Source organism: Homo sapiens, chromosome 5 (assembly GCF_000001405.40).
Source record: "Homo sapiens chromosome 5, GRCh38.p14 Primary Assembly".
Lineage (NCBI taxonomy): Eukaryota > Metazoa > Chordata > Mammalia > Primates > Hominidae > Homo > Homo sapiens.
Genome location: NC_000005.10, coordinates 158305835 through 158319514, shown reverse-complemented (window position 1 = coordinate 158319514; position 13680 = coordinate 158305835). Strand labels below are relative to the sequence as shown.

General features: G+C 41.8%; 2 annotated features.

The window, feature by feature from the left end:
• Window positions 4994-5778: an enhancer, noted in NCBI's record as "NANOG-H3K27ac-H3K4me1 hESC enhancer chr5:157740745-157741529 (GRCh37/hg19 assembly coordinates)". NCBI's record gives its function as "activates a minimal SCP1, AML or CMV promoter by ChIP-STARR-seq in primed H9 embryonic stem cells {active_cell/tissue: H9 hESC(primed)}" and the evidence as "EXISTENCE:reporter gene assay evidence [ECO:0000049][PMID:30033119]".
• Window positions 5779-6565: an enhancer, noted in NCBI's record as "OCT4-NANOG-H3K27ac-H3K4me1 hESC enhancer chr5:157739958-157740744 (GRCh37/hg19 assembly coordinates)". NCBI's record gives its function as "activates a minimal SCP1, AML or CMV promoter by ChIP-STARR-seq in naive H9 embryonic stem cells {active_cell/tissue: H9 hESC(naive)}" and the evidence as "EXISTENCE:reporter gene assay evidence [ECO:0000049][PMID:30033119]".

Genomic DNA, 13680 nt, shown 5'->3' with positions numbered 1-13680 from the left:
TCACCTCACCCTGCCCTACTTTTTCCATAGCATTTAACCACCTTCCAACATATAATATAATTTACTATCATGTTATCTTAGATGTAGATAAGCCTCAGGGCATGGCTGTTTGCTTTGTGTTCCAAGGCCTACAACAGTGCCGACATATAGTAGGCACTCCATAAATACTTCCTGAAAAAATTACTGATTTTAAAAATTGCTGAAAGTCAGCCGGGCACGGTGGCTCACGCCTATAATCCCAGCACTTTGGGAGGCCGAGGCGGGTGGATCATGAGGTCAGGAGATTGAGACTATCCTGGCTAACATGGTGAAACCCCGTCTCTACTAAAAATAACAAAAAATTAGCCAGGCGTGGTGGCGGGCACCTGTAGTCCCAGCTACTCGGGAGGCTGAGGCAGGAAAATGGTGTGAACCCAGGAGGCGGAGCTTGCAGTGAGCAGAGATCACACCACTGCACTGCAGCCCGGGCGATAGAGCGAGACTCCATCTCAAAAAAAAAAAAAAATTGCTAAAAGTCAAATATTTCCTTTTTTATTTTTTAAGGACAGGGTCTCACTCTGTTACCCAGGCTGTAGTGCAGTGACACAATCATGGCTCACTGCAGCCTCAAACTTTTGGGCACAAGCGATCCTCCCACTTCAGCCTCCCAAGTAGCTGGGACTACAGACCACACTCAGCTAATTTTTTTTTTATTTATTTTTGTAGAGACGGGGTTCTTACTATTGCCCAGGATGGTCTCAAACTCCTAACTTCAAGCAATTTTCCTGCCTCGGCCTACCAAAACACTGGGATTACAAATGTGAGCTAACACACCCAGCCATCAAATGTTTCTCTTTTGAAAAAAATTTATAAAATTAGTTAAACTTCTTTGGCAACTTAACCACACTATATGAATGAGAGATGTTGTTACATTATTATTAAATTTTAAAATCATCAAAAAGATGCAAAGGAAACAGCAAGTACTTTGGAAAAGGTGAGCATTCTAGGGAAGGCACTAAAAGCAGAAGATTGATAGGTTTGCCCTATGAACAATTACTTATGCATTTTCGGGCTTTAACTCCCTTCTTGGTAATAATACAGACAGTTATGGTACTAATGAAAGTAATAACCATCAATGTTTATGAAGTCCTGATAATGTCCCAGGCCCCAGGGCAAAACAGTTTAGATGCATTCTCTCACCTAATTCTTAAAGCAACATATTAGGCAGTTGCCATGATTACCACTTCTGTTTTACAGATGAGGAAACTGAGTCACATAGAGGTTGAATAATTCTCTCACAATCACACAGTTATCATAGTACAAGGCAAAGCTGGGCACTTGAACTCCAAATTTTCTGATTCCAAGCTCCCACGTCAGGCCTATGTCATACCTCCTGTTTGTCATTCTCTCCTTGCCTCTTTGTCGATCACTTTTCCTCTAGTCCACACTGGTAAAAGGAAAAACCTAAAAAGGTGAAGAAGTCATTTGTAGTCTTAGGAAGGAGAAAGGCACAGTCAGCTAGGTAGACACATTGCAGAGGACTCAAAATTGCTTTCAACCAATCTCCCCCTTACCCTCGGAACACATAATGCTAAAGATGCAACTAGGAGAGTTGTATGAACTCAAAGATGTTCATTGGACTCCTTTCTTTAATCAATTTAATATCAAAGGGTTAAGAAAATGCTTCTTATGAAATAGCACAACCCACCACTGAACTGTATACCTGATCTGCCTCCCTTCTCGGGCTGCCTCTTGATTTATTCTGTCACAGCCCCACCTCAAGCCTCACCGGGCAGATGGTGCCAGATGGTAAACTTATAACAACTTCTGCAATCAAACTGCGGAGAGGTTGCCAAACTCCCTTCCTCTGATCCCTAAGAGTCACTGGAAGATGCCTCGGGTGCCCCATGGGAGGGAGTGTGATGGGGAGAGGGTGTACTTCAACCAGAATGTGGCTCTGCTTTTATCTGCTTCACACCTTGAATTTCTGAACTAAGTTTGTTTCTAAAGGCTCATCTGTAACAAAAGAGAAGAATATGAAATCACAAGATAGAGAAACACAGTTTATTAAAAAGAGACCTTGGCTCACAGTTGAGAAAATTGGGTCCTGGTTCCTCCTCTGCCATTGCCTTGAGCAAATCACTTAACCCCTTGGGACTCAGTTTTCTCATCTGCAAAATGAGGAGATTTTGTATCAGTATTAGTTAATTAGTTGTGACAAGTGTACCAAAGTGATGTTCACAATACGGCAAACTGAGTATGGTGTAAACGGGAACCCTCTGGAATATTCTTACAGCTTTTCTGTCAGAAACTATTAAATATTTTAAAGTTTATTAAAGTTAAAAAAAGTTGAGCCTCATAAAATCTATTTCAACTTTTTTTTTTTTTTGAGACAGGGTCTCATCCTGTCACATTGTCACCCAGGCTGGAATGCAGTGTCACAATCATAGGTCACTGCAGCCTTGACCTCAAGTGATCCTCATGTTTTAGCCTCCTGAGTAGCTGGGACTACAAGCACGCACCACCATGCCCAGCTAATTTTTTACGTAGAGACAGGGTTGCACTATATTGCCTAGGCTGGTCTTGAACCCCTGGCCTCGAGCAATCCTCCCGCCTCAGTCTCCCAAAATGCTGGGATTACAGAAGTGAGCCACTGCGCCCGGCCGATATTCCAGCTTTAAAAGGCACCTGATGCTATCCATTATTTAAAGAAAGCTACCTCAGTACATTTTTCAAGTTTCTTTGGTTAAAATTTCAGTTTGCCATTTATTGACTTTCCACTATACCTGGAGATGCAGAGGAAAACTCTAATTTCTGGAATGGTTTTTGATAATGTTTTATCTTATAAAATTAAGTTCGTCTGGATCCTGGAGGCACCTAGCTCTGGGCATCCTCTGTTGTAGAGTCTTGGGATTTTTTTTCGGCCATCCTTACTCCTTGGTCTTATATATACTTACTATATTGGTCTACAGTACGTACCACAACTATGTGTATGCAGTGTACACACACACATATGCACTCACACACACACAAACACTAAACTAGATAGATAGGTCAATATTTTAGTTTTACTGTCCTAATGTTATAAACCTGTAAAGTCATGCTGGTACTTTAAGTAGATGAAGTAGACAGTTCAAGACTTAGTTAAGTTTAAAAAGAGAAGTCTCAGTTATCAAAAATAGACTTTTCCATATCAAATTTCAGCCTTTGGGTTTCACTGTCATCTCCTTGGTTATTTCCAGACCACCGATCAGCATATGACTATATTTTGCTGGTTCCCAACCAACATCTCCATGTAAGAAGTTCTTGTCAGAAAACTACTGATGTTCACAAATGATTTTAATACACATTGGGGTTTTGAGAGTATATGGAAACAAGGGGAGTATGGTGTGTTGGCCCCAGTTCTTATTTCACTGAAGAAAATGGGCAAGTGTTTGCTTCTTAGCAATGCTTTCTGTTTCCCTTCTTGACCACAAATGCCTTAAGGATAGTTAATGACAATACTATCTTGGGGGCTTTCAAAGTCCCCCAAACACTTGATTCCATGGGGCTTGGACCAATCTATAAATTGGGTGTTTGGAACCAAATTGCACAGCTATTGCTGACTAGAGTGGCCATAGTGAAATCATAGCTACCTGACCCGCTTACTTGAAAGGCCTTTAAAAAAAAGAAAATCTATTAATCAATTTGTTTCTTGAGGCAACTTAGCAACAGGGATCCCTGCAATAGATTGGGTGATTTCGCTAATGAGCAAGTTGGATTGAATAGTTAGTTGCATCAACTTAATTTAATTTTTAGGCTATTGATTTTCATTAGGAAGATTTAATACAACCTTCCCACCTTCCTATAGACATCCTTTTCCCATTGGTGATATGCTATGTTTCACAATTGCCCCAGTGGAATATGTCCGGAAGACTATTTCAACATGTCAAAAACTGGGGGAATCTGTGGCAAACAGAACTTCCCATTATTAGGAAACCAAGACACAACGATTTCTAAGCCCCATACTTCAGAGATCAACCCCCCATTTTTTAAAACTCATACCCATTACAATGTTCTCTAATTGTATCTTCCGTATATACCCTCTACTCAAGAATATTTGGGTGGAGCTTCGATTTCTCCATTAATTCACTTCTTCAACAAATATTTATTGAGCATTTACTATATCCAGGTACAATACTGAGGTATCCAGATACAGAGCTGAGGATAGTTTGGTAAATAAAAGAACCAAAGATCTGCCCTTAGGAAGCTTAGCCTTTACCGGGGAAGACAGATAATTAACAAGTAAATAAATACATGCATAATTACCTAGTGTGGTAAATCCTATGTTGAAAACTAAAAGAGAAGATAATAGAGAATAATATGAGTGAACCAACTGATGTATGTTAGGGAATAATACAAGTTAATACGTATTGAGTATTGCTCTGAGTACATATATTTTCTTATTTAAACTTCTTAACAATCCTATGAGGTAGACACATAATAGCCTACATTTTTAAGATAAGGAAACTGATTAACAGAGAATTCTCAAACTGATTAAGGAGTTTGCCCAAGGACAGATAGCTGGCAATTAGCAGGTTCAAATTTTGACCCCAGCAGACCAGCTCCAGAGTCCACACTCAACCACTGCACCACACTGCCTTTTTGGAGAGATGCTATTTACTCTGATAGCTGAAAGCTTGCAACGAGGCACCCAGACAAGAAGCAGGGGCAAAGCATTCAGCGAAGCTGGAATGGTGTGCATGAAGTTCCAGAGGCAAGAACTCTGCTGGCATTCTAGGAGGCAGGCCAAGCTGCCACATGGGGGGTAAGAGATGAACTTATCTTCTGCACGTGTACAATAGAAACATTTTAAATATGTGTTTTAAAAACCACGTCTATCAGTCTCAAACCAGAGATTCTAAAACATCCCCATTGAAAGTTGTCATAAATGGGCTCATCGAATCACTGAAAGGATAATCCTGGCCTCCGAATCTCAGTGGTATATGGAGAGCTTCTCTCTCACTCTGCAGGGAGAGCCCTTGAACCATTTTATTTGACCTTGTAAGACTGTTTAGTGGCTATCCATAACCCCAGCTTTGAACTTCTTGAGAGCAAGACACCATCATATTCATCTTCATAGCCTTAGTTCTAGCACAGCCTGTGGTACAGAGGAGGTAAATAAAGGAGGAAAACACGGCTAGTGACTGGATGCATGACAGTGCCTCACGTATGGCCTGCAGACAACAAATGTTTCAGAAAGGGAAGATAAGGGCTTGTTTACATCTGAATGACGAGGCGGTGGGGGTCAGAGCACAGAATCACCAGCTAGAGTGGGGTAAGTGTGAAATCATCTGAAAGCTCAAGGCAAACACCCCCACACCTAACTGTAGGCTGTATTCATAGGGGCAACCAGCTCAGTTCTCGGTTTCCCTCTTCCCAGAGAGCACTGTGTTTATGAGCCTATTCAGCTGCTGGGAGTTCCAGGGGGAGATGACTTCAGAAGTGTGATATTTAAGAGCAGGAGGAAGGAACGGCTTGGTAAGGATGCTGGGCCTCTATTTATTCCACTCCGTATGCCAGGCTCCAAGACTTCTCGGCGGATTCCCATTTGTCTTTCTCCTGTGGAATATTTCAGATTTACAATGCCATCTGTTGAGGAGTGCGGGCCCAGGCAGCACAGTTCAGCCCGAGGCCCTTCTGCTGCCCAAGGCCGGGAGGTGGCCCAGAGAGGCTGGTGCCAGGCTCGTGAATTCCCCGCCCGAGCCAGGCTGAGCAGCCTCCAAAGAGTGATGGATTAGGACCCCAACAGGGCTACCTCCTCTTTTTACTGCGTCTGGATTGGTGGCATAGGCGCGATTTCTGGTCCTCCTTGTTTGTCTGCGTCTTGCACACTCTCACTCACGTTGTTGAAAACAGTCTCCTGGCTTGGATCTGGGCTCCCTGGGCTTTCGCTCTTCCACCTTGTACATTAACTCCTCTCTCTTCTGGCATTTTCAGAAACTGCCTTTGCCAGGGCTCTAGGGGGTGGCTGCTGAACTCTGCAGCTCTGACTAAGGAATACACTGTCACAAAATTACTAGAGTATCATTCAGAAAACAAAGGGCACAATGCTTCAAACACTCAGATGCTGTTTTGGAGTATTTGGGGTCTACCCATTTGTCCCATTTCACCCAGGAAAGCCTTTGTATTTCGAAAGCAAAGCTATCTGCCTACCTGGAACTGACACATACAAATGCACCCCGGCTCCTTTTGCACAGCAGGCACCGCTGCAATCAACAGGCCATGTGCGTGCCCTGGAATTTGCAATCGGGCCATCCTCCAGCATCCCAGGCTGGAACAGTAACCAGCGGAAGTACAGGATTGATGGGCAGGAATCTGCTCTGTCATTCAACTTGCATCACCTCCTGCCTGAACAGCACATTCATCTTTTCAGAGTGCTTTCCTGTGCCCATGCTTCTTCTAACTGGATCCCATAAAACCCTGGGAAATGCACAGAGTGGGTCTCATCACTCCCACTCTCATTTGGCTGACAAAATTCAGGGAGGACATATAATTTGCCCAAGGTCACACTTTTCTTAGTGGCACATGATCCAACTCATCATAATCCAGCGTTCTTCCCTCCATATCAGATTTTCACTCCACTTTCCAATAATAAAATAATGGTGCTTCCACCAGTACCACCCAATACATAACTAGACACTTTACTTTGTGATTTGCTTTGGGGATGTCAAAGCCTTAATTCGGGAGTATTTTAGTAATTTTAGTAATTCGCACTTAACCAGTTTAGAATCATGTTAGAATGGACTGGCCCACTTTGACTTAAACTATCTATGAAAAAAAAAAAAAAACTGTGGGCTACACAATTTGCTAAACCACCATCACCATAATAATGACTTGAGCAGCTAACATTTAGTGTTAACCCTATACCAACATCTCTTCTGCTTTTCACATACTTCGATCTCAATGAGTCCATGTGGTGGATAATATTGTTTTTACCATTTTACAAGGAAGAGAATCAAGGCAAGAGAGCTCAGGTCACTCGCACAAGGTCCCACAGTTAGTCTGTGGCTAAAACAGGATTTGAACTCTGAACTGCAAAGGCTATACTTCTAGTCAATTTCACTACAAATCAGATTAAGATTCTCAGAAGGATAAAGGGAAATTGAGGGCGCACAGAGTTAGACAACAACAGGAAAAACATAATGCCAAGAACTCTTAAAGTTCAGTTCTCAGTGCATGATACGTTAAATATAAAAGGTTTTTCTCTATTCTTTAAACAGGCCTTGAGGAATTATGTCTCATATCTCTGAAGTCAGAGAGTATTACTGAATTACTACATTACCTATTCTCTACTCAGGCTCTCACCCTACAGTCACCCTTCCCATCATGTGTGTGTTACATGTTCCACAGCAGTCATTTAAAAATAGATGGACCCCATCACACAGTCTGTTTATAAGAGATCTCAACCCTCCTTCCATTTGCATGTTTAAGATTACAGCTTCTTCAGTGTAAGCAAAATATCATGGACTGAAAAAGTCATGAGATGTGATCAAAAGCCAATGAGCCAGAAAAGGCAAATATGGCTGTACAAGTTGCTCATTTCTGTGAAAACAAATAAAATTTTAAATGTAACAATGTCAGCAGTTTCTTTTAGCGGCGGCAGAGATTGTCTCTCCTCTTCCTTGGCACAACAGACATTACATTTAAGCTCAACTCTGACATATGCAACTGAGTCTGAAAACACTGGTACCTTGTGTGGGACGACATTAAAGGGACAACCAACCTAGGCTCTACAGAAACCATTCAAAATTCCTAAGAATTCCTTCGAAAATGCAAATGTACTAATCACTAGCCTAGTCCTATGTTTAACAGGTTCTCCCCAAATATATACTTTATATATTTTTGCTAAGATGTGAATTAACATACTCCTTTTTTACTTTATTGAGACATAATTCTGCCAATTGCTATGAAAATTGAAAAACCATTGGAAAATTCGCAATGTCATATTCAAATCTTTGCAAAATCTCAAACATTTCTCTCAGACTTGCTTCTCTTTAAAGTGAAAAATGACAGAGAAAAGCAGATGTAGCTGATGTGAGATTATTTATTATTTTTATAATCCTTATATATGCAATTTATTTGGGAAAAGGAATGGTTTGAAGAACAGATGGACCCTTGGCATATGCAGGGTGATTCCAAGGTAGGAAAAACAAAGTATCCTTCTAACATGGAAAGTTTGTTTGGTCGGTTGTTGTTTTTTGTTTTTTGGTTTTTTTTTAGTGAGCCAAGACCAGGATGCTTTTATTTAATGGAAGGAATTGTGATAGAAAGAAATAATAAAGGAAATATTAGAGTGTATTATATGTAATAAGGGGAAGCATTGCTTCAATAATTAACACATATATGAATGTTGGGATGAAATTATAAAATGTATTTATTCCTAGAAGTTATAGTGGAAAAGTCTTAAGACCATTGATTTAGACACACTGTGGAGACTTAGGAACTTAGAAGAATAATAGACATGCTTATCAATGTCTACTTGAACCACAGCTACTTCAATAGAGCCTGCCTCACCCACGTCTGCATAACATTACTCCATAATTCTTTTTTTTTTTTTTTTTTTTGGCGGGGGCTGGGGGGTGGGGTCAGAGGTGTATGTGCAGGTTTGTTACATGGATAAATTGTGTGTTATAGGGGTTTGGTGTACAGATTATTTCATCACTCAGGTAATGACCATAATAGTGTTGTTTGGTTTTTGCTTGTTGATTTGTTTAAGTTCCATACAGATTCTGGATATTAGACCTTTGGGTATTAGGCCTTTGCCCAATAGTTTGCAAATATTTTCCAGCAGTGGAGGTTTTGCCAACCAATTCTTAAGAACCTGAATTCCAAACACAACATGAGTTTATGGCCTCACCCATGAAACTCAACTTCCCAGTTATAAAGAAAAGGGGGATTACAGAGACTTATCATTAAGCAAGTTGACTCCAAATCCAATTGTGATGATTTAAGCATAAATGCATCCACAAGCTGAGGATTAAATTTCCTATAACATATGCCTAAATTTAGAATCCTACAAAAAGTAGCTCAAGAAAAAAATGCACTTCACATTTCCTTCACCCAAATGCTTTAGTAAAAAGTGTCTTAAGACATTTAACTAGTAAAGCACATAACCAACAATTTACTGACCCCCAAAGATCTTGTTCTTGCAAATACCTAAAAGCTAAAGAGAAAAGCTTGAGAAGGAAAAAAAGAAAGAGAAAAAGAAAGGAAGAAGGAAGCAAGAAAAGGAGGGAGGAAGGAAGGAGGAAAGGGAGGAAGGAAAATAGGGAGGCAGGGAAGTGAGGAAGGGAGGTAGGGAAGGGAAGGAGGGAGGGAGGGAGGAAGGGAGGGAGGGAGGTAGGGAAGGGAAGAAGGGAGGGAGGGAGGAAGGGAGGGAGGAAGGGAGGGAGGGAGGGAGGGAAGGGGGAGGGAGGAAGGGAGGGAGGAAGGGAGGAAGGGAGGTAGGGAAGGAAAGGAGGGAGGGAGGGAGGAAGGGAGGGAGGAAGTGAGGAAGGGAGGTAGGGAAGGGAAGGAGGGAGGGAGGGAGGAAGGGAGGGAGGAAGGGAGGGAGGGAGGTAGGGAAGGGAAGGAGGGAGGGAGGGAGGAAGGAAGGAAGGAAGGAAGGAAAGGAAAGAAAGGAAAGGAAAGGAAATAGAGAGAGGAAGGAAAGAAACTTAGAGCTCCTCTGAAATCCTACTTTGGATTGTGAAAGCACAAGAATCTTGACACAATATATTGTTTTTTCTCTGTCATCACCACAGATCTGTATTTCAAGCTCAGAACTAGCATATTGTTTCCATTGAGTGGGATGAACAAAATTTGTTTCCAGGAAAACTTTAAAATGAGCCCCATGTTTAAGTCTCCATCGGTTAGGTCATAAAGAACAGCAATCAATTCCAAAGTCTGATGGCTGCTCATGGTGTCATTTGCTGCTTCACATCTGTTTTACTCGGAAATGACGTTCCCAATTGAGTGTGTTTTCGGCAACTTCCCCATTAAATTACTGCAGTTTTATATAGAGATCATTGTGTACGTTTCATGAATTCATGTAAAGCTAAAATAAATGGATGCTTTCAAGCTTTACAGTTTCCAATCTGATATTTTCCCCAAACATAATAGGACAAGAAGTGGAGGGGGAGTAGAAAAGAGGAATGGCTAGATAGCACATCTTTCAAGAAAATATGGCAAAAAGGAGGATTATTTTTAAGTTGTAAAAGTTCTGGACAGCTTCCCATTACAGATCATTATAGCATAAAGTATTATTGTTCTTTTTACAGAGCCTGGCTCGTTTTTATTCTCTCCTATAGATGCTTGGGCTGTTAGGTTCCAGCAGTCTGTGGTTTCACAGCTTCCTTGGCCAGCCAGGGTAGATGCTATAATTCTGTGTTGCTTTCCTAAAAACAAAGGTAGGAGGCTGTCAGCCTTTCTCCAACAGATGGGAGGCATGATAGTGCCCATCTTCACTCACAGGTATGATCATTTCTGCCCAACAGTGAATTGGTTCCCACCCCACTCCAGAGCTGAGCCTGGTGCAGTGGGAATTTCAGGTCAGAGGTAAAAGCAAATGTTTCTGAAGACATAGAAGAAGGGAGGGAGAGTTTAATCTCAGTCCTCCTGATTTAGAGTCCCGGGGTAAATGCCGCTATAACAAGGCTCCGAACCAACAACAGGATGACATAAGCTCTTCCATTTCTAACCCAGTTACCCACCAGAACCCAAAGCATCCTGAAGCTCATGATGTATAAATTTAATTTCTCTTTTATGGCCGGAGCAGTGTTTTCCATGATTTATAAATCATTTGGTCGGTGATTTCTTTGAAATCTTTGCCTCATTTATGCTCTTGACCTCTTGACCTCCTGATACATTTATTTATGCCAGAGATCTCTTTGCAGTGGTGCAGTTTAATGTCATTTGCCCGAGACTGGGTGGCTGAAAGGCAAAGAAACAAATATGAATGCTAAAGGGGGTTTGTGATGCAAAACTGTGTGTTTAAAAAGAAGGATAAACAAAGGAAAATGTGAACACTTAAAACATATTCCTGCACTATTGATGTATTGCTGGAACCCTCTTTTTATTGAATACTTTATGGGTATCTGATTATATGGCAGTTGATGGGGCAATGAGAGAATACTGATCCTCACAGCAAAAATATTTGCTATAAATGTCATGACATGCCTTGTCTATAATATGATTCTTTCCAGATGGTTATTTTTCAAGTTTCAGAAATGGAAAAATATGCCTTAAGACAAGTATACATAAAAATGATGCCTTTCTCCTTTGTCTATTTTTGATTTTAGTTTATTCATACTCTGTTGTTTACCATGAAGCAATGTGCTAAAGAAATCTGGTCAGAATGACATCTGATTAATTGGGCAGGGCACTTCCTACATAGCTCTTTGCTGATAACCCAGCTGTCCAAGAACCATTTCATTATAAGAGATGCAGAGGCAGGCGACAGTCACAAAACCACTGGGAAGCTAGGTCCGCTTTAGCAGATTGGCACAATTTGTATCACTGGTGCTCAGAACCCACAGGGCTCGCATAGCCCAGAGCCAAGGACAGCCTCTGCCTCTCAGGACAGCCTGTGTTTCTCTATGCCATTTACTCATTGTTGAAATGTCGTGAAGAAAATGGCTCCTCTTTAACTCCCCCTAATCCACTTACCTGATGCAGAATTAGTTACTCTGATTTTATATATATATAGTGAAACACACACGCACGTGCACACACACACATAACCAGATATTGTATTACAGACGCTTCCAGAGGTAAAATATAATATTCTGCTAGCTGTTACAGTTAACAATACACTAATGTTGACCAACCCATTGTCGATGTTTCAGAAGGCTAAGTGTTTCCGTTCTTCTGGCTTCTCTGCTTTATGAGAGAGAAAACACGTCATTTGCACATTCAAATTACATAAATTCAACGACTGTGCATGAGCTGGTACAGGGAGTGGATAATGAGAGGGAGAGAAATAACAATTTAAATAGTGTGTGTGATTTTGCCCTCCATTCCACTCAAGAGACACACACATCCTAATGATGGTGAATCAGGCTGTAGGAGTCAGTGGTTTCCTCCCCTGGTTTTGGCATCCTGGCGCCTCCTACTTTGTGAGCCTCTCGCCATGCTGGGTATGGGTCAAGAATAAAGCTGACTACATCGTCTGTTCACCTTACATGTTGATCCTTGACATGACCGCTCTAAAATGGGGTTAATTGCAGTCCATGTCACAGCTAGGACTTCCAGGTGTACAGACAAGGTGAAAGGTACCAAGGAACATCAAGGTGAAAATCAGAGAGGAAAAAGTCCAAAGGCAAAACAGAGGCACCAAATAGGGATCAAGTTCAAGTGATCAGAAACACAAAGGTCGAAGTCAATAGAAGGTGATAAAATGTTAGCACTGGTTATTTCCTGGGTAGTGGCTATTATCTTCTTTATATCTCTCTCCATTTTACAGCTTGTCTGCAATAAGCATGGATTAGTTTTATAAGAAGAAAACAAATTATTAGGACACTAACCGGCCAGGCATGGTGGCTCACGCCTGTAAACCCAGCACTCTGGGAGGCCAAGGCAGATGGATCACCTGAGGTCGGGAGTTTGAGACCAGCCTGGCCAACATGGTGAAGCCTCGTCACTATTAAAAATGCAAAAATTAGCTGGGTATGGTGGCAGGCACCTGTAACCCCAGCTACTCAGGAGGCTGAGGCAGAAAAATCACTTGAACCTGGGAGGTGGAGGTTGCAGTGAGCCAAGATTGCACCATTGCACTCTAGCCTGGGTGACAAAAGCGAAATTCCATCTCAGGAAAAAAAAAAAAAAAAAAAAAAGACACTAACCATAAAAATGAAAGTGTTTAAAAAGAGAGAGAGGGCCAGGCGCGGTGGCTCTCACCTGTAATCCCAGCACTTTGGGAGGCAAAGAAGGGCAGATCACGAGGTCAGGAGATCGAAACCATCCTGGCTAACACAGTGAAACCCCTTCTCTACTAAAAATACAAAAAATTAGCCAGGTTTGGTGGCAGGCACCTATAGTCCCAGCTACTTGGGAGGCAGGGGCAGGAGAATGGCTTGAACCTGGGAGGCGGAGCTTGCAGTGACCCAAGATCGTGCCACTGCACTCCAGCCTGGGCGACAGAGTGAGACTCTGTCTCAGAAAAAAAAAAAAAAAAAAAAAAAAGAGAGAGAGAGATTGTCTAATGCAGCCTGGGTCTGGAGAATGCAGAGAAAACGCCAGGACTGGCACTGGGAAGTTCAAGTTCATCTTGCTGTTACTTTTCAGTGTGATCCTGGCTCAGAGCACAGGACCTGGAGTCAGAGATGGTGAAGTTCAAATCCTGAATCTTCTACCTTTTGTTTGTGATTTTGAACAAGTCACTTAACCTCTCTAAGAAGTAGTGTGCTGGTAAACATGGAACAACCAGCTGTGGAGGGAGGAAATGCGATTTGTAGCACTTGCCAATTTCCACAGATGCAAATGCTCCCACTGTGGCCAGTTTCAAGCTGCTAACCTGTGGTCAACCCAGATCACAAAATTCCTAACAGTTTAACTATTGGCTCACTCAAGCTGGTACAAACCAGCCCAGCAGACCACCATCTCTGAGTCTCAGTTAACATTACCTGAGTAACTACTCATAGGTTGATTATGAGATTTGCATAACACCAAGCATGTAAAATG